General features: G+C 39.2%; 1 pseudogene across 2 annotated transcripts in view; it reads left to right on the forward strand.

The window, feature by feature from the left end:
• LOC105379443 (methylenetetrahydrofolate dehydrogenase (NADP+ dependent) 1 like pseudogene) overlaps positions 1-22,122 on the forward strand; it is a 42,107-nt pseudogene that overhangs the window by 11,011 nt on the left and 8,974 nt on the right. The window contains exon 4 of one of the 2 annotated variants that reach the window (NR_160671.1): positions 1,994-2,705. The exons of the other annotated variant lie outside the window; for it this stretch is intronic. The product of NR_160671.1 is annotated as a methylenetetrahydrofolate dehydrogenase (NADP+ dependent) 1 like pseudogene, transcript variant 2 (transcript). Of the gene's footprint in view, positions 1-1,993; positions 2,706-22,122 lie in introns of those variants that run through there. 2 annotated transcript variants of the gene reach the window in all.

Below are 22,122 nucleotides of genomic sequence, written 5' to 3' on the forward strand. Positions count from 1 at the left end.
ACCAAAACCTTAAATTAGACAGTGATATTATGAGTAGCTTTTTTTCTTCTCTTTTTTGTATAGATCAAATTACTACGTTGGGTGTATATCACTTTTATAACATGAAAATACAGTAAATAGGGCGATGATAAACTGCAAGTGCTTGGGGAGAAGGCTTAACTCAGGCCAGTTGCAAGAGAGTGAGAACACACACGCAGCCTGTGGGAGCGGGCTCCGTGCCATCACCTGGCCGGTCCTGGCTGTGTTGCTGTGTTTTCGCACCTCAAAAGTTGGGACAGCAAGGAAAGGCCATAAGAGCTAGAATGTTTCTATAAGAAGTGTATTCAGTATGATTTGTCTAGCTCTGACTAATGTGTGCAAACCCCAGATTCAACTAAGCAAATGCAAGATTGTTTTTCCCTGTTAATTTTTTCCTGGGCCCTTCTTGCTTACTGTGTTGGGCATTGGAGAGGGGGTGATTGACTTCTTTCTTCTCACAGTGTTTTCTCTCGCTCTTTTTTTTTTTTTTTTTTTTTTTTTGAGACAGAGTATTGCTCTGTCACCCAGGCTGGAGTGCAGTAGCATGATCTCGGCTCACTGCAACCTCCGCCTTCCAGGTTCAAGTGATACTCCTACCTCAGCCTCCCAAGTAGCGTGGACTACAAGTGCATGCCACCACATCTGGCTCAATTTTTATATTTTTCATAGAGACTGGGGTCTCACCATATTGGCCGGGCTGTTCTCAAACTCCTGACCTCAAGTAAGCCACCACGCCCAGCCATCTCTCACAGTGTTTTTTAAAACAACAATGCATTTTCACAACAGTTGGCCTGGAGAGGTGTCCAACCAAGTTGGAATTCATAGCAGATATCCATTTGAAGTTAATTTTTGGTGTATTTGACTGTTTTCCATTGACTTCACATTGAGGCAGTGAGAGAGACTTGAAGAACTTAGAATATGAACCCTTTTCTCACTGGCAAACATGGGACATAGAGGCATGTCTTGACAGCAATTTATGGCAACACTCTGGGCTGGAATCTAGGGGTTAGGCAGCCTGGCCGGTTTTGTAAATTAGTCAGGCCACCCTCAGAGACAGTTTGAGGGTTTAGTGGGAAGCCTGAATAAAAAGAGAAGTTAAACTTTTAAGAAAAGGGTCAAGCTTTAAAACTGGAATTGGCTTTTCAAATTTAATGAGTAAAAAGAAACCCCAAAACTGGAATTGTAATTGTGGAGAAGTACAAATTATAATATTTGGAATATCATCTACAAGGAATGAAACTATCCAGAAGCATTTAGATGGTAGTCATTGATTGTAGGGCATCTCTGGGGGCAGGGTGGCTCCTGGCACTGTAGAGAAAGACCATCGGTGCTTCCGTCTCCCAGTTGGAGGAAAGGGATACACTGTGGAGGTCCCAGCAGCTTAGGGCCTGCCCCCATGTGGTTATGTCTGCATGGTTTCCTTCCCTCTGTCTTCCTGTAACTCTTTCACCCTGGCCCCTGTGCCCTTTCTGGGCAGAGGGTGACAGGAGGCACTGCATGGGTGCATTCTTTTTTTTTTTTTTTTTTTTTTGAGACAGAGTCTTACTCTGTTGCCTGGGCTGGAGTGCAGTGGTGTGATCTCGGCTCACTGCAACCTCCATCTCCCAGGTTCAAGCGATTCTCCTGCCTCAGCTTCCCGAGTAGCTGGGATTACAGGTGGCCACCACTACGCCCAGCTAATTTTTTCCAATTTTAGTAGAGACAGGGTTTCACCACATTGTTCAGGCTGGTCTCAAACTCCTGACCTCGTGATTCACCCGCCTCAACCTCCCAACGTGCTGGGATTACAGGTGTGAGCCACCGCCCCCGGCCAAGTACATGCTTTTTTTCCTCTTGTTGGGATTGGCCTGGGCTATACCTATCTCATGGTGGAAGCCTGCCTAGGGACCAGGCCCTAGAAGACCAGCAGTTTATTTAACTGGGTTGGCCTTTGTCCCCACTCCCTGTGACCCGGCCCTGCCATATCTTTACCCAGGTGCACCACTGACATCATGGCTCGGCTGGACTCTGGAAAGCAGGAAATTGCTGGAGTATGTTTGGGCATCAATGATGTCACCCGCTACGAATGCCGGGTGGGGTTACTGGACTGAGGGCCATGAAGAAAGAAAGCTGCGGCCCTGCCCCGTGGACTCACTGCCATTCTGTTCTTTCTCACGTTTCAGTTCAGCTCACTTTGTTTTCCGTCCCCCTCCCTCTACTGTAAAAGTATGTACTCATTGTTTCATTTCCTGCTGGATCTGATTCAGGTCAGTGATGAAGTTCTTTGCGAGCTCAGTGGGGAGGCGTTTCCTCCCTTTCATACCGGCCCTGCTTAGGGATGCATGGTTGGTTATATACTTGCTTCACTCGGTTAGGCATGGAGGAGAATTCATTCAGACCTCATAGGTTTAAATCAAATGCATGACCCTTCACATTTTCCAGAGATTTAGACAGTTACAGTGAGACAATTAAACATTCACCCCCCAAGCTGCACTTGGAGATGTGTAAGCAGTAATGTAGTCATGCGCTCCCCATGATATGAGAGTGTGCAGAATGCCACTCCCCACAGCAGGTCCACCAGGACCTCCTCAGGGAGCATCTTGCCTACAAAATCACCCATCCCTTTTCCCCCACTTTCTTCACTTTCCCTACGTTTCCACTCCCACACCCACAAATAAACAAAGAAACTTTGAGCTTATTTTACAAAAGTCTTTGAAATGGCCCTCCTCTCTCCGATGCTCCTGGGCCCTGGTTTGGCCCCAACTGTGCAGTCTCTCTGATGAGTGTGAAATAAGCCAGGTTTGGCTCATGCTCTCCCTGTGAGCTTGCTCTCCCCGTGAGCCTGCCCTCTCCATCTGGCCTCACTTTGTTTGTGTCCCTGGGTCCTTTGTCTCTGATCCTGGGATCCTGGTGGTTTCCTCCTCCCCGTCCAGCTTGGGTCCTTTTCCCCAGGGTTCTTCCCTATCTCTACATCAGAATTTCCTGCTTTCTCCCAAATATGCATTTCCCTGGCCCAGGCATCCATTGCTTCCTCTCATCGTGAGGTCCCTGCAGCAGACTGCCAATGGTGTTGTGGCCATGCCTTCCTCCACAACCCAGGGAAAGCTACATGTGTGTCTGTCCCATAGGGAAGGAGTCATCCCTGTCTCTTCAGTGTGGCATGTTCAGGAGGAAGGAAAGTAACCAGCGTCATTCTCAATTTCCGGAAACTGTTTATCATATTGACAAGAAGAAGAAAGCTTTGCGACTCATGAGAATGATGTTTTCCTCTCTGGTACATAAGGTTATGTAGGTCCAATCCATTGTGTAGAAGATCTTTTCTCCCTTAATGGGATGTACACTTATTTTTAGCAAAAGTATAAAACTACTTTAAATGAAGTCAGCCTCAGCCAGGGAAATATGCTGAGTAATAATGTTGCCAGGTACTATACCACTGAGTTGAGTTTGCAATTCACTGCTATTAATCCCTGCATGTTAGTTCTGAATTTTTACTCTTTGCATACGTAGAAAAAATGGTGTTTCTCTTCAGAGTCAAGGAGGGAAAAAAGAAAAGTTAAAAGACACTTATAACACTTTTGTGTCCACCCCTAAAATCAGCATATTGATCTACTATTTTTCTAGGTATTGATGGAATATTGACTCATATACTTTCATACAACTGCTAATATATATATATATATAGACTCATTTTTCTTCTTCCACTTTCATCTACAGCCTATTTGTTTTTCTCCCCCCATTTTTCGTTTGGATTCATAGCATAAATTGACAACAAAGATACATCTCAATTTAGAGCTTCCAAAAGGCACCCATAAAAGTATCTGGTGCTCATGGAATTTCTCTTTCTTCTGTGTCTCTTAGTTACACTTTTCTCTTATTACACTTTTCTATCCAGCCGTGGCTAAGAGGCATATAATCAGAAGCAGCTAAGCAATGTATGCAAGGGAAATAAAATGAACACAAACCAAGATAACCGGTTTTGTAAATTAGATAGCAAGGCCACCCTCAGAGTCAGTTTGAGGGTTTCGTGGGAAGCCTAAGAAATATAACTGATATAACTGATATATTATCAGTTATAAAAAAAGTTATAAGAAAAGGGTCAAGCTTTAAAACTGGAATTGGCTTTTCAAATTTAATGAGCAAAAAGAAACCCCAAAACTGGAATTGTAATTGTGGAGAAATAGAACTGATAATATCTGGAACTTGCAGCAGTTTACAGGCTTAACTATGTATGTGTTCCTTAAATTATCCACCCGCAGATATCAGATTACAATAAGTCCTCACTTAATGTCATTGATAGGTTCTTGGAAACTACCACTTTAAGCAAAAGGACATAATGCATACGAAACCAGTTTTCCCATAGTCTAATTGATAGGAAAAAGAGTTGAGTTATGAAGCCACACAGTACCTCGTTTGGCTTAAAGTCACTGTTTCCAAGAACATATCCACAATGTTAAGTAAGGACTTACTGTAAATGAAAATATTTGCAGTAAATCGCTTTTGAGAGAATTGGTTATCACACTCTTCTCTGGGTATCACTGAAAATTCAGAATGTTTAGTTACATCAGGCTATACTCACTGGTATGAAATCAGGGAGCAAGTATAAAGTAGGTGTAGGGAAATAATTTATGTTGGATTAAATGATCCAATGAAGGAATTTTATTAAGCCCCTAGAAATCCCAGAATGAAAATGTATAACTGCATGACTAACCCCTGTAAGAATTTGCTGGGGTTTCTGCATTATGTACGCTTCCCAGGCCATTTGTAATGAAGCTACCGTGATCTGTTAAGGAAGAGACCTACACCTGGGAACATAAACAGCCAATTCCATCCTGGACATCAGTCTCCTGTTTGACTCATTCCAACCCCAAGAATATGTTGTAGAGTGTAGGACCCATGAAAGTTACCTACAGTGCTTCCCTGTACCTTCCATCATCCAGTTCCCAAACATACCTGTGTTTCTTCTCTGAATGCATAGTTACTTGGGATCCCATGTTGTATTAGTCTGTTCTCACACTGCTGTAAAGAACTACTTGAGAGTGGATAGTTTATAAAGAAACAAGGTTTAATTGACTCAGTTTTGCAGGCTATACAAGAGGCATGGCTGGGGAGGCCTCAGGAAACTTACAATCATGGGGAAGGCAAAGGGGAAGCAAGTACATATTCACATGGCGGCAGGAGAGAGAGTGAAGGGGCAGTGCCACACACTTTTAAACAACCAGATCTCAGAACTCACTAGCACGAGAACAACAAGGGGGAAATTCACCCCCATGATCCAGTCACCTCCCACCAGGCCCCTCCTCCAACACTGAAGCTCATAATTCATCATGAGATTTGGCTGGGGACACAGCGCCAAACCATATCATATGCCTTTCCCAGGACTGGTGTTGGAGGAACAGTGCCTTTGTCACACCTACCAGAATATACTCACCCACTTCCAGACACTCCATTTCTCTTTCAAGCACACCTCCTCACTTGTGCTGCCAGCTAAGGTTTACTGCAGTTACTTCCTTTGTGTGTCCTCTTACCTTACCAAGTCGCCTCACCCACCACCTACTGTTAATTAAATTACCACCTCCCCCACTTCCCCACCTCCAGAGTAGAGACTGTCTCTTCAGTTCTCTTGGCCTTCCCACAATGGGAAGTCTGGTGTGGAACATACCCTAGGAGCCAACTAAATGTGGTAGTGGCCTGCCAACCCTGCAGAGGGCTAGCAAATCTTCAGGGAGTCTGCTGCCGGTGGAAACTCACCAGTACTAGAATCCCAGGCTCCAAAGAAGTCTAGAAAAGTACGTCTTTTAAGGAGCTAATAAGAGGTTCAAGTTTCCACAAATCCTATCTGCTCTTGGCCTAGTTCTTTTGGGATCAGTGTGCTAGTCTCTCTTGTCAAACTAGTTACTGACCAGCAAGACTAAAAAACCAGGCCCAAACACATTCTATTCATGTGCTTAGATATAGACCTATGGATCAAATATCCCACTGTAAAGCAAAAAAGCAAACTGTTTTTCCCTTGTACTCTCACACTCAACAATAGCACACTTCTGTGGCTGGCTGTGTGGGGGCTTTTCCTTACACACCAAACATTTCTCACAGAGACCAACTGGGTGTCCTCTTATTCAATTCAATCCTGACACTGTCTACCTGCAGATAGTGTCCAATCCCACAGATTGACGGCTCGATCCCATGAGACCAGCCCCACTTCAGGCACTAATTCCAAGTCCAGGCAACGCATACTTCTGACTACCTGGCTAAAAACTACATCCACGGCCGGTCATGGTGGTTCACGCCTGTAATCCCAGCACTTTGGGAGACCAAGGCGGGTGGATCACTTGAGATCAGGGGTTTGAGACCAGCCTGGCCAACATGGTGAAACCCCGTCTCTATTAAAAATACAAAAATTAAACTGGGCACGGTGGCTCACACCAGTAATCCCAGCACTTTGGGAGGCCGGGGCAGGCGGATCACGAGGTCAGATCAAGACCATCCTGGCTAACACGGTGAAACCCCATCTCTACTAAAAATACAAATAAAAATTAGCCAGGCATGGTGGCGGACGCCTGTAGTCCCAGCTACTTGGAAGGCTGAGGCAGGAGAACGGCCTGAACCCATGAGGTGGAGCTTGCAGTGAGCAGAGATCATGTCACTGCACTCCAGCCTGGGTGAGAGAGCGATGCTCCATCTCAAAAAAATAAATAAATGAAATAAAATACAAAAATTAGCTGGGTGTGGTGGCGGGCTCCTATAAGCCCAGCTACCAGGGAGGCTAAGGCAGGAGAATCGCTTGAACCCGGGAGGCAGAGGTTGCAGTGAGTTGAGATCCTGCAACTGCACTCCAGCCTGGGAGACAGAATGAGACCCCATCTCAAAAAAAAAAAAAAAAAAAAAAAAAAAAGGGTTCGCATGAGCCCCCTCCCTGGGTTCAATTAAGTTCCTAGGATGGCTCACAGAACTCAGAGAAACATTTACAGAGCTGTTATGATATATATTGATTTTCATTGATGAACATTGATGCAAAAATCCTCAATAAAATACTGGCAAAACGAATCCAGCAGCACATCAAAAAGCTTATCCACCATGATCAAGTGGGCTTCATCCCTGGGATTCAAGGCTGGTTCAATATATGCAAATCAATAAATGTAATCCAGCATATAAACAGAACCAAAGACAAAAACCACATGATTATCTCAATGGATGCAGAAAAGGCCTTTGACAAAATTCAACAACCTTCATGCTAAAAACTCTCAATAAGTTAGGTATTGATGGGACATATTTCAAAATAATAAGAGCTATCTATGACAAACCCACAGCCAATATCATACTGAATGGGCAAAAACTGGAAGCATTCCCTTTGAAAACTGGCACAAGACAGGGATGTCCTCTCTTACCACTCTTATTCAACACAGTAATGGAAGTTCTGGCCAGGGCAATCAGGCAGGAGAAGGAAATAAAGGGTATTCAATTAGGAAAAGAGGAAGTCAAATTGTCCCTGTTTGCAGAAGACATGATTGTATATCTAGAAAATCCCATTGTCTCAGCCCAAAATCTCCTTAAGCTGATGAGCAACTTCAGCAAAGTCTCAGGATACAAAATCAATGTACAAAAATCACAAGCATTCTTATACACCAACAACAAACAAACAGAGAGCCAAATCATGAGTGAATTCCCATTCACAATTGCTTCAAAGAGAATAAAATACCTAGGAATCCAACTTACAAGGGATGTGAAGGACCTCTTCAAGCAGAACTGCAAACCACTGCTCAAGGAAATAAAAGAGGATACAAACAAATGGAAGAACATTCCATGCTCATTGGTAGGAAGAATCAATCTCATGAAAAAGGCCATACTGTCCAAGGTAATTTACACATTCAATGCCATACCCATCAAGCTACCAATGACTTTCTTCACAGAATTGGAAAAAACTACTTTAAAGTTCATATGGAACCAAAAAAGAGCCCACATCACCAAGTCAATCCTAAGCCAAAACAACAACGCTGGAGGCATCACACTACCTGACTTCAAACTATACTACAAGGCTACAGTAACCAAAACAGCATGGTACTGGTACCAAAACAGATATATAGATCAATGGAACAGAACAGAGCCCTCAGAAATAACACCACATATCTACAACTATCTGATCTTTGACAAACCTGAGAAAAACAAGCAATGGGGAAAGGATTCCCTATTTAATAAATGGTGCTGGGAAAACTGGCTAGCCATATGTAGAAAGCTGAAACTGGATCCCTTCCTTACACCTTATACAAAAATCAATTCAAGATGGATTAAAGACTTAAAAGTTCAACCTAAAACCATAAAAACCCTAGAAGAAAACCTAGGCATTACCATTCAGGACATAGGCATGGGCAAGGACTTCATGTCTAAAACACCAAAAGCAATGGCAACAAAAGACAAAATTGACAAATGGGATCTAATTAAAGTAAAGAGCTTCTGCACAGCAAAAGAAACTACCATCAGAGTGAACAGGCAACCTACAAAATGGGAGAAAATTTTCACAACCTACTCATCTGACAAAGGACTAATATCTAGAATCTACAATGAACTCAAACAAATTGACAAGAAAAAAACAAACAACCCCATCAAAAAGTGGGCGAAGGACATGAACGGACACTTCTCAAAAGAAGACATTTATGCAGCCAAAAAACACATGAAAAAATGCTCACCATCACTGGCCATCAGATAAATGCAAATCAAAACCACAATGAGATACCATCTCACACCAGTTAGAATGGCAATCATTAAAAAGTCAGGAAACAACAGGTACTGGAGAGGATGTGGAGAAATAGGAACACTTTTACACTGTTGGTGGGACTGTAAACTAGTTCAACCACTGTGGAAGTCAGTGTGGCAATTCCTCAGGGATCTAGAACTAGAAATACCATTTGACCCAGCCATCCCATTACTGGCTATATGCCCAAAGGACTATAAATCATGCTGCTATAAAGACACATGCATACGTATGTTTATTGTGGCATTATTCACAATAGCAAAGACTTGGAACCAACCCAAATGTCCAACAATGATAGACTGGATTAAGAAAATGTGGCACATATACACCATGGAATACTATGCAGCCATAAAAAATGATGAGTTCATGTCCTTTGTAGGGACATGGATGAAATTGGAAATCATCATTCTCAGCAAACTATCGCAAGAACAAAAAACCAAACACCGCATATTCTCACTCATAGGTGGGAATTGAACAATGAGAACACATGGACACAGGAAGGGGAACATCACACTCTGGGGACTGTTGTGGGGTGGGGGGAGGGGGGAGGGATAGCATTGGGAGATATTCCTAATGCTAGATGACGAGTTAGTGGGTGCAGTGCACCAGCATGGCACATGTATACATATGTAACTAACCTGCACATTGTGCACATGTACCCTAAAACTTAAAGTATAATAATAATAATAAAAAAATACATCACCAAAAAAATAAAGAGGGCATTATAAAATGCCTCATGGAAAAAATATTATTTTAACAATTAGTAAAGTAAAATAAAAATTTGTGACTCATAAAGACACACTTCATTTTAATCCTCTATTTTTTTTTTTTACAAATGGGACTTGAATATTTTAAGATAAAATTTAAAAAATCAAGTAATTTTAATCAGAAATTTCAAAAAAATAAAACCCTGAATCCAATTCAAATTTCACTTACTTGGAAATTGTCACTGATATAAATTTATTTATATAAATGTGATATAACCAATAAAGATATGCAATAGAGTCATTGTTAATTTGGGTAAAAAAATTTTAAAAACAATGCAAACTTGTATTACCTCCATATGTATGTATGTACACATGTACACATATATGAATATTTATATATTTGCGTACACACACCATATATGTACCTGTGTATAAATGAATAACAATGGAATATCAGTTGGCCTCTACTACAACATTTGAAGGCCCATTGCACAATGGCCAGAACAGAGACGACATCAGAATGCAACTTAAAATTTCCAAGATGACTTGAATTATATCTGAATTTCTAACAGGGCATAGAGAAATTAAAATCTTGTTTGATTATGCTTCTTTGTTTATTACTGGGAGAGCCTCACATGCAAAGCAGATCAGGATATTCTCTTACCAAATGTGTTAATTAACAGTCAGTTCATAATGTAAGGGTGACTCAAATAGCAGATTCAATATCAAACAGGAAGGGCTTTTGTAGCCCGTTCTATTTTCGGTCAACCACAAACCACCCACTCCTGCTGAAATAAAAACTTAAAAGGCAGGTGGAGGAAAATATGTTCTAGACCAAGGGGTAGGTTCCGGGTCTGCAAAAGACATAGTGTGCCACCCACAAACACACAACTTCAAGGAGCGTGGCTCAATCCTTCAGAAAATTGGTTCTAACTTTCAAATCATTAGGGATCTTCTTTATGAAAGATATAGCAAACAAAAACACAAAATATACCCCTCTAAGATTATTAGGAAGTTAAAAAAAAGTGACTTGTAACTTTTAATAAATAACTAGGGAGGTAAGCTTGTTCATTTCTGAGATTCACAACTTTTATAAAGGTGCTGTATTAATACTTGAATTGTGCTATGTTCAATAGAAGCAGAGACATAAGCCATACTGAGAGAAGAAAAAAATTTTACAACAAGAAAATCTAATGCTGTTTAATTTCTTTAAATATTTATTAATTTCTGAATGCTATGTGATTGCTTTTATATTAATTTTTCAGTAGGGAAAATGAATACAATTGAATACAATTTCTCAGTTGAGAAATTAAATACAATGGATTTTAGTGTGATGACATACTTGATGGGATAATTTTAAAATCATGATTTTAATTAGATATAATACTTTTAGGTAGAATAATAAAAATAAAGGAAAACCGATTTTCTTTAAATTCCGTCAATTATTTCTTTCTCACAATAATTAATATGTAATTTACCAATGATGTAGTAGATTAATACCAAATTCTCTTACTTTTGGTTTCATCAAAAAATGATGAGCATTTTTCTCTGATTGATGTTCAGTTACTTTCAGATGGCTTGTAATCTTGTACTTTCAACATTAAAGATTTTTTTTCACATATTGATACCAATCATTTTATGATATATCTGATTTTATAATTATGTATTCATTGTTTTCAAATGAGAGTTATGGTTGTATACAGTAAGAATTATAATAGAGGAAGTTATCTGGTGCTCCAGGAATTTAAATAAGAGAAGATATAAAGATCTCAGCCTTTGTATCAATATTTTAATTGGATCCTGAAAAATGAATGGAGATAGACAGAAAACAAGTAAAAAATGGTCTAAGCAGATGGAATAGAAGGAGTAAAAGGAGAGTGATAGAAAAGTGTGTGTGTCTTTGAAGGAACATAACCTGTTCTGGGTGTGGCTACAGCACAGGTTTGTGAAGGACAATGTTAAATGATTGAGGAGAATGTCTCTCAATATCAGTGATTTTGTATTTTACCCTTCAATGATGGGACATAAGTAAACAATTTTTAAAAGCATAGTGGGTGTGTGTGTATATAAATATATAGTATATATAGTATATAGCATGTCTATACTTATACTATATACATACATATAGTGTATATGCATATATGTATATATAGTATATATATATACTTATTTTCATTCTAGATAGAAGTTTTTGAGATGCAGTTAGAAGAAAAAGTCAGAAAGAATAGTCAAGATTATTCCAGCAGTACAGGCATGATGTGATGAATAACTAAATTAAAACATTAGCAGCAACACAGAAGAGAAATGGCAGAATAGAAAGGTAATTCAAGGTAGAAACAGCTGAACTTAATAATTCATTTAGAAGGAAGAGTCAAGGTATAAATACTCTAAATTTTCTTGGCGACTGGCTTGATATTATCATCATTAGCTGAGATGGGCAATGCTTTAAAAGAAATAGATTTATTTGCCAAAATATAAAATGTGTTTATGGCTATGTCAAATTTGAGATGCAGGTGGTGAAGACAGAGGGAGAGAATCAGTTGATATTTTAAAATATAGGTTTGAAACCTACAGGAAAATATTGGAGTAAAAAAAAATAAAGAAAATCAAACGTCAAAGGAAATGCTGGAAGTGTGGGAATGGATAAAAGGAGCACAGGAAAAGTGTGCAGAGCATTGTTACCCAAAGTGCTGTGGGAATTTTATACACATATGAATACAACTCGCAAAACACACAAATATTTTTGCTTCCCTGGATCATTTACTGGAGTCTTTTACATACACATTCTGAAGTATAAGGTATGCAGAATTTTCTAAGCGTATCATACAATTCCATTCCAAGAATACATTTCAGGAAAACTATTGTCAATCAGGGAAACATTGGTGCAGAATAGTAAGAAAAGAAATACCCATTAAGACTAGTAGTTACACAGTGGACATGAAAAAACTAGGCAGCAAGGAGTTATTAAAAAGAAAGCATGGGCTGGGCATTGTGGCTCATGCCTATAATCCCAGCACTTTGGGAGGCCGAGGCGGGCGGATCACCTGAGGTTGGGAGTTTGAGACCAGCCTGACCAACATGAAGAAACCCCATCTCTAGTAAAAATACAAAATTAGCTGGGCATGGTGGCACATGCTTGTAATCGCAGCTACTCGGGAGGCTGAGGCAGGAGAGTCTCTTGAAACTGGGAGGCGGAGGTTGCAGTGAGCTGAGATCACACTGTTGCACTCCAGCCTGGGTGAAAAGAGGGAAACTTCATCTCAAAAAAAAAAGAAAAAAGAAAAAAATGAAAGCATGGGGCCAACATTGAGTGGTCTTAAGGAAGTCAAGGTAGAAGGAAATTTAAAGAAGGAAATGAGAAGCAATGCAGAATGTTTAGAAAGTCAATTAGGAAGCTCCCATAAATATTCTCACTATGTATTATAGGGAATTCATTTATAACTTCAAAAATACCACTCAAAAAAGATGGTAATTGTTGAAATGAGATTTCAATGGGTGAAAGAGGCTGGGCACAGTGGCTCATGCCTGTAATCCCAGCACTTTGGGAGGCCGAGGTGGATGGATCACGACGTCAGCAGTTCAAGACCAGCCTGGCCAAGATGTGAAACCCCATCTCTACTAAAAATACAAAAATTAAACGGGCATGGTGTTGGGCACCTGTAATCCTAGCTACTTGGGAGGCTGAGACAGGAGAATCGCTTGAACCCAGGAGGTGGAGGTCGCAGTGAGCCGAGATGATGCCACTGCACTCCAGCCTGGGTGACAGAGCAAGAGAAAGAAAAGAGAAAAGAAAAGAGAAGAGAAGAAAGAAAAGAACGACGGAAGGGATTTTAAAAAGAGATGAGAAGTCAGTATACTGTTTTGGAGGAAGTGTAATTTATGATTTTGGCTATAACTTGCTATGAATGGAAACAGCAACACACCACTGGATTTCAACTTTTGAGTGCTTAAGAAGGTGGAGATGGTGATTAAAATAATAATAATAATAATAATAATAATAATGCTAAGTGTGTAATAGTTGCTAAGTGTGTGGTGTCTGAAACCAGGATATCAGGATGTCTGGAACTGGGATTGAATCCCAGCTCTTCCACTTTCTGGTTATGTGAGTGACTGTAGGCAAATTACTTAATCTTTTCATGCTCCAGTTTCCCATATGTAAAATGAGAATTATAATAGTAAACTACTTCATGGCTTGTGAGGATGAAGTGCATGTAGAGTACTTAGTGAGTTCTCTTTGTGTATTATGTATTAGTTTCAAAATGCAGATTCTAGAGCCCTTAGATTCTCATTCAATAGGTATGAGGCAAGCACGGGCCAGGATTCTGCATTCTTTAAGGAGGTGTAATTTCCTATATCTGCTGTGACAAAGTGGTTCACATTAGGTCGCTTAAAATGAGATAAAGTTATTCTTTTACGGTTCAGAAAGCTAGAAATCTTAAATGAAGGAGTTAGCAGTGCTGCATTTTTCTCTGAATGACCTGGAAAAAAATCCTTTCTTGCTTCTTCTAGCACCGGGTGATCACTGAGCTTCATTGTCATTGCTTGGCTGGAGGATACCTCACTTTATTCTCTACCTCCATCCTCACATTGCCATCTCCTCCCTGCGTCTCTGTTTCCTCTTCCCTTCTTATGAGGATATCAACCATATTGAATTATGGCCCACTCTAATGCATTATGAGCTCATCTAGCATATCATAATTATACAGCATCTGCAAATAATTTGATTTCAAATTAAGTCATACTCACAGACATCAGGGGCTAGAACTCTAATATATATATTTTCTTTTTGAAGACACAATCTAACCCACAAAAGGGGGGGAGCCGCTTAAGATCATAAATAACTCAAGTAACAAGACTGTGTGTTTAAAATAGCATTTAAATTTCTCCAAATGGCAGACAGCTTAATTCAGATCAATACCAATCAGGAGATAAACAAGTGTTTGTCTCCTAATTGGCATTTACCTGAGATTAAAACATTATGGTAAAATACATTATCTTCAGTGATCTTTGGTTTAGGTGAGCATTCACAAGGCACACAGTTATTATCACTTGAGCCATCTCTCTCTAATAACTCTTTTCTAATCTGCTGGCCAACAATATCAGGTTCTTTCAAATCTCTGATTATCGGACCAAACCATAAGGTCCTCCACGTGAATTGGTAGAAATATTTTTTACAAAGGTAAATGAAATTTTATTTACTTGATGGATTTCTCTTCTCCTTTGTACAAAGGGGTGACCCTTTGACAGCACAGGGAAAGAACATGATAGAAATAGACTTTCAGAAGGAAGGGCCTTCCATAACAAGGAATGCCATCTGTAATCCAGACTTTTTTCTCCTCAGGAATCCAGTCATAGGCAAATCTCTATGAATCACAGATAAATAGAAAGAAGGGTGGGAGTGTGTCAGGAGTAGGATGCTGAAAATGTGAGTAGCCTGTTCATTAATTGGTCCCTTGGAAACTGAGAAGGCAACGTGGCATACATGCAATTTCCATGGAATGATGGAAGACTGGTTGTAGTTACTATGATCCTATAATGCTCAGATCACAACGGGGTCACCCTTATTCATGACTGAGCATTCCTTCTTATTAGTATCCCAATGTGAAATTGTTTCTCAAAAAAGGAGGGGGCGGGTAATTTTTGTACAAAAGGCTTTTACTCCAAAATAAAGTGGCTTGTACTGTATTTCTCCTCTGGAGCCTTGCCGCTGGCTCCATAGGAAAATTCTGCCTCTCATAGATACCTGAGGCATTGGATTCCCTAAACAAAATTGTAGATCCACTTGTACTGCAGGCCTCTGTAGTCCAAAACGTTTCTCTTTCTCTGAGTCCCACTCACAGCTGACATCCTTCTTGACATTTGCATTTTATTTAGAATACACATCCAAATATGTTTTATGTTGCCTCTAACATTCAAAAGAGCCTCTAACAGTCTTCCTTTCCCTATCCCTTCCTTCCATTTGAAAGATGTTTGCTCCACATCACTTTCTACTGCATTCTTAGACTCCCTGAAGGTAGGAAACCCACATTTTTGTCATTGGCTCGATGTGTCTTTCCTGAAGTCTATGGTAGCTGCTATTTTTCTCTAGAGCATATCAACCGGATGCTGTCCATGTATTCCATAAGTTATGTCCATTTGGCTAGTGACATGGCCAGGGTTCCTGAGTACAAAATTGTGACACAGACAAAAATAGTTATACTTCTACAGCTACATAGTGAAGACACTCTGCCTGGAAAAAGTAAGAAATTTCAGGTATTTACCATTTATTTAAGATACAGAAAAATAATTTGCCTAAATGTATAGCAGGAAAAGGAGATAAGTGTATTCACTAAAGCAAGGAGACTACATCTGGATTTTAAATGTGTGCCCTCAGATAGGATTCCAGTACACAGTGGCTGGATTCTGAGTGTTTGTCCCTCACACAGGATTACAGAACACTGCTACGAGGTTCTGAATGGAAAAGGAAATATCTTCACATAAAGACAAGAAAGAAGCATTCTGAGAAACTTCTTTGTGATGTGTGCATTCACCTCACAGAGTTGAACTTTTCTTTTGATTTAGCACTTTTGAAATACTCTTTTTGTAGTGTCTGCAAGTGGATATTTGGAGCGCTTTACATTCTATGGTGGAAAAGTAAATATCTTCACATCAAAACCAGACAGAAGCATTTTGAGAAACTCCTCTGTGATCTATGCATTCATCTCACAGAGTTGAATGTTTCTCTTGATTGAGCAGTTCTGAAACACTGTTTTTGTAGAATCTGCAAGTGGATATTTTGAGTGCTTTGGGGCCTATGGTGGAAAAGGAAATATCTTCACATAAAAACTAGACAGAAACATTCTGAGAAACTTCTTTGTGATGTGTGCATTCAACTCACAGAGTTGAAATATTCTTTTGATTGAGCAGTTTTGAAACACTCTTTTTGTAGTATCTGCAAAGTTGGAGGACTTTGGGACCTCTAGAGGAAAGGGAAATATCTTCTCTTAAAAACTAGACAGAAGCATTCTGAGAAACTTCTTTGTGATGTGTGCATTCATCTCACAGAGCTGAACATTTCTTTTGATTGAGCAGCTTTGAAACACTCTTTTTGTAGAATCTGCAAGTGGACATTGGGAGCGATTTGAGGCCTATGGAGGAAAAGGAAACATCTTCACATAAAAACTACACAAATGCCTTCTGAGAAACTTCTTTGTGATGTGTGCATTCATCTCACAGAATTGAACCTTTCTTTTGATCGAACAGTTTTGAAACACTTCTTTTGAAGGATCTGCATGTGGATATTTGGATCAGTTTGGGGCCTGTGGTGGAAAAGGAAATATCTTCAAATAAAAACTACACAGAAGCGTTCTGAGAAAGTTCTTTGTGATGTGTGCATTCAACTCACATAGTTGAAGATTTCTTTTGATTGAGCAGTTTTGAAACAATCTTTTTGTAGTATTTGCAAGTGGATATTTGGAGTGGTTTGAGACCTATTGTAGAAGAGGAAATATCTTCACATAAATACTAGACAGAAGCATTCTGAGAAACTTCTCTGTGATGTGTGCATTCATCTCACAGAGTTGAAACTTTGTTTTGATTGAGCAGTTTTGAAACACTCTTTTTGTAGAATCTGCAAGTGGATACTTGGAGTGCTTTGAGCTCAATGGTGGAAAAGGAAGTATCTTCAATTAAAAACTAGACAGAAGCATTCTGAGAAACTTCTTTGTGATGTGTGCATTCAACTCACAGAGTTTAAACTTTCTTTTGATTGAGGAGTTTGGAAAATCTCTTTTTGTAGAATCTGCAAGTGGATATTTGGAGTGCTTTGCGGCCTATAGTGGAAACAGAAATATCTTCACATAAAAACTAGACAGAAGCCTTCTGAGAAACTCCTTTGTGATGTGTGCATTCATGTCTCAGAGATGAACCTTTCTTTTGATTGAGCAGTTTTGAAACACTTTTTGTAGAATCTGCAAGTGGATATTTGGAGCGCTTTGTGGCCAATGGTGGTAAAAGGAAACATCTTCACATAAAAACTGGATGGAAGCATTCTGAGAAACTTCTTTGTGATTTATGCATTCAGCTCACAGAGTTGAACCTTTCTTTTGATTGAGCCATTTGAAACACTCTTTTTGTACGATCTGCAAGTGGATAATTGGAGTGCTTTAAGGTCTACGGTGGAGAAGGAAATATCTTCACATAAAAACTACACAGAAGCATTCTGAGAAACTTCTTTGTGATTTGTGCATTCAACACACAGAGTTGAACCTTTCTTTTGATTGAGCAGTTTGAAACACTCTTTTTGTAAAATCTGCAAGTGGATATTTGGAACGCCTTAAGGTCTATGGTGGAGAAGGAAATATCTTCACATAAAAACTGGACAGAAGCATTCTGAGAAACTACTTTGTGATGTGTGCATTCATCTCACAGAATTGAAACTTTCTTTTGATTGAGCAGATTTGAAGCACACTTTTTGTGGAATGAGCAAGTGGATATTTGGAGGGCTTCAAGACCTATGGTGGAAACTGAAATATCTTCACCTAAAAACAACACAGAAGCAGTCTGTGTAACTTCTTTCTGATGTGTGCATTCATCTCACAAAGTTGAACATTTCTTTGGATTCAGCAGTTTTGAAAAACACTTTTTGTAGTATCTGCAAGTGGATATTTGGAGCGCTTTGGGGCCTATGGTGGAAAGGGAAATATCTTCACCTAAAAACTACACAGAAGCATTCTGAGAAACTTCTTTGTGATGTGTGCATTCATCTCACAGAGTTGAACATTTCTTTTGATTGAGCAGTTTGGAAACACTCTTTTTGTAGAATCTGTAAGGGGACATGCGGAGCTCTTTGAGGCCTGAGGTGGAAAAGGATATATCTTCACAAAAAAACTAGGTGGAAGCATTCTGACAAACCTATTTGCGATATGTGCATTCATCTCACAGAGTTGAACCTTACTTTTGATTAAGCAGTTCTGAAAAACCCTTTTGGTACTATCTGCAAATGGACATTTTGTGTGGCTTGAGACCTACAGTGGAAAAGGAAATATGTTCACATAAAAATTAGACAGAAGCATTCTGACAAATTACTTTGTGATGTATGCATTCATCTCACAGAGTTGATCATTTCTTTTGAGTGAATAGTTTGGAAGCTCTCCTTTTGTAGCATCTGCAAGTGGACATTTTGAGCGCTTTGAGGCCTATGGTGGAAAAGGAAATATCTTCCCATAAATATTAGACAGAAGCATTCTGACAAATTCTTTGTGATGTGTGCATTCATCTCAGAGAGTTGAAACTTTCCTTCGATTGTGTAGTTTTCAATCACTCTTTCTGTAACATCTGCAAGTGGACATTTGGAGTGATTTGAGGCCTAAGGTGAAAAATGAAATATCTTCACACAATAACTAGACAGAAGCATTCTGAGAAAGTTGTTTGTGATGTATGCATTAATCTCACAGAGTTGAACATTTCTTTTGATTGAGCAGCTTTGAAACACTCTTTTTGTAGAATCTGCAAGTGGACATTTGGAACACTTGAGGCCTATGGTGGAAAAGGAAATATCTTCATAGAGAAGCTAGACAGAAATATTCTGAGAAATTTCTTTGTGATGTGGGCATTCATCTCACAGAGTTGAACTTTCTTTTGATTGAGCAGTTTTGAAACACTCTTTTTGTAGAATCTGCAAGTGGATATTTGGAGCGCTTTGCGGCATATGGTGGAAAAGGAAGTATCTTCACTTAAATATTAGACAGAAGAATTCTGACAAACTTCTTTGTGATGTGTGCATTCATCTCAGGGAATTGAACCTTACTTTTGATTGAGAAGTTTTGAAGCCCACTTTTTGTAGAATCTGCAAGTTGATATTTGGAGCACTTTTAGGCCTACGGTGGAAAAGGAAATATCCTCACATAAGAACTAGACAGAAGCATCCTGAGAAACTTCTTTGTGATGTTTTCATTCAACCCACAGAGTTGAATCTTACTTTTGGTTGAGCAGTTTGGAAACACTCTTTTTGTAGAATCTGCAAGCGGACATTTTGTTCGCTTTGAGGCCTATGGTGGAAAAGGAAATATCTTCACTTAAGATCTAGACAGAAGCATTCTGAGAAACTTCTTCGTGATGGGTGCAGTCATCTCACAGAGTTGAACATTTCTTTTGATTGAGCACCTTTGAAACATTATTTTTGTAGGATCTGCATGTGGACCTTTGGAGCGCCTTGAGGCCTATGGTAGAAAAGGAAATATTTTCACATAAAAACTATACAGAAGCATGCTGACAAACTTCTTTGTGTTGTTTGCATTCATCTCACAGAATTGAACGTTTCTTTCCATTGAGCAGTTTTGAAACACTGTTTTTGTACAATCTGCAAGTGGACATTTGGAGTGCTTTGAGGCCTATGGTGGAAAAGGAAATATCTTCACTTAAGAACTAGACAGAACATTCTGAGAAACTTCTTTGTGATGTGTGCATTCATCTCACAAAGTTGAACCTTTCTTTTGATTGAGCAGTTTTGAAACACTCTTTTTGTAGAATCTGCAAGTGGACATTTGGAGCGCTTTGCAGCCAATTATGGAAAAGGAAATATCTTCACATAACAACAAGACAGCAGCATTCTCAGAAACTTCTTTGTGATGTGTGCATTCATCTCATGGAGTTGAAACTTTCTTTTGATTGAGCAGCTTTGAAACACTCTTTTGTAGAATCTGCAAGTGGACATTAGGAGCACTTTGAGGCCTATGGCAGAAAAGGAAATATCTTCACATAAAAACTAGACAGAAGCATTATCACAAACTTCTTTGGAATGCGTGCTTTCATGTCACAGAGTTGAACATTTCTTTTCATTAATCTATTTTGAAACACTCTTTTGGTAGAATCTGCAAGTGGACATTTGGAATTCTTTGAGGTCTACGGTGGAAAAGGAAATATCTTCACAGAAAAACTACACAGAATTATTCTGGGAAATTTTTTTGGGATGTGTGCATGCATCTCACAGAGTTGAACTTTCTTTTGATTGAGCAGTTTGAAACACTCTTTTTGTAGAATCTGCAAAGGGACATTTGGAGCACTTTGTGGCATATGGTGGTAAAGGAAATATCTTCACATAAAAACTAGACAGAAGCATGCTGACAAACTTCTTTGTGTTGTTTGCATTCATCTCACAGAATTGAACCTTTCTTTCCATTGAGCAGTTTTGAAACACTGTTTTTGTACAATCTGCCAGTGGACATTTGGAGCACTTTGAGGCTTATGGTGTAAAAGGAAATATCTTCACTTAAGAACTAGACAGAACATTCTGAGAAACTTCTTTGTGGTGTGTGCATTCATCTCACATAGTTGAACATTTCTTTTCAATGAGCAGTTTTGAAACACTCTTTTTGTAGAATCTACAAGTGGACACTTGGTGTGCTTTGAGGTCTATGGTGGAAAAGGAAATATCTGCTCATAAAACATGGACAGAAACATTCTGAGAAACTTCTTCATGATGTGTATATTCATCTCAAAGATTTGAACCTTTCTTTTGATTGAACAGTTTGGAAACACTCTTTTTGCAGTATCTGCAAGTGGACATTTGGAGGGCTCTGAGGCCTCTGGTGGAAAAGGAAATATCTTCACTTAAGAACTGCAAAGAATCATTCTGAGAAAATACTTTGTGATGTGTGCATTCATCTGACAGAGTTGAACCTTACTGTTGATTGAGCAGGTTTGAAACATCCTTTTTGTACTAGGTACAAGTGGACATTTGGAGTGCGTTGATGCCTATGGTGTAAAAGTATATATCTTTACATAAAAACTAGACAGAAGGATTCTTAGAAATGTCTTTGTTATATGTGCATTCATCTCACAGAGTTGAAACTTTCTTTTGATTGACTAGTTTGGAAATCTTTTTGAAGGATCTGCAAGTGGACATTTGGATCACTTTGAGGCCTATGGTGGAAAAGGAAATATCTTCACATAAGAAGTAGACAGAAACATTCTGAGAAACTTCTTTGTGATGTGTGCATTCTTTTCACAGAGTTGAACCTTTCTTTTGATTGAGCAGCTTTGAAATGCTTTTTTTGTAGAATCTGCAAGTGGACATTTGGAGCGCTTTGAGGAGTGTAATGGAAAACAAAATATCTTCATGTAACAACTATGCAGAAGTATTGTGAGAAACTTCTTTGTGATGAGTGCATTCATCTCACAGAGTTGAAACTTTCTTTTGATTTTCTAGTTTGGAAACTCTCTTTTTGTAGAATCTGCAAGTGGACATTTGGAGCGCATTGAGGCCAATGGCAGAGAAGGAAATATCTTCACATAAAAACTAGACAGAAGCATTCTGATAAACTTCTTTGTGATATGTGTATTCACCTCACAGTGTTGAACCTTACTTTTAATTGAGCCGTTTTGAAACTCCCTTTTTGTACTATCTGCAAGTGGACATTTGGAGTGCTTTGAGGCCTATGGTGGAAATGGAGATATCTTCACATAAAAACTAGACAGAAGCAATCTGAGAAACTTCTTTTTGATGTGTGCATACATCTCACAGAGTTAAACATTTCCTGTGATGGAGCACTTTTGAAACTCTCTTTTTGTAGAATCAGCAACTGGACATTTTGAGCTCTTTGAGGCCTATGGTGGAAAAGGAAACATCTTCACATAAAAACTAGACGGAAGAATTCTCAGAAATTTCTTTGTGGTGTGTGAGTTCATCTCACAGAG

This window comes from Homo sapiens, chromosome 9, assembly GCF_000001405.40.
Source record: "Homo sapiens chromosome 9, GRCh38.p14 Primary Assembly".
Lineage (NCBI taxonomy): Eukaryota > Metazoa > Chordata > Mammalia > Primates > Hominidae > Homo > Homo sapiens.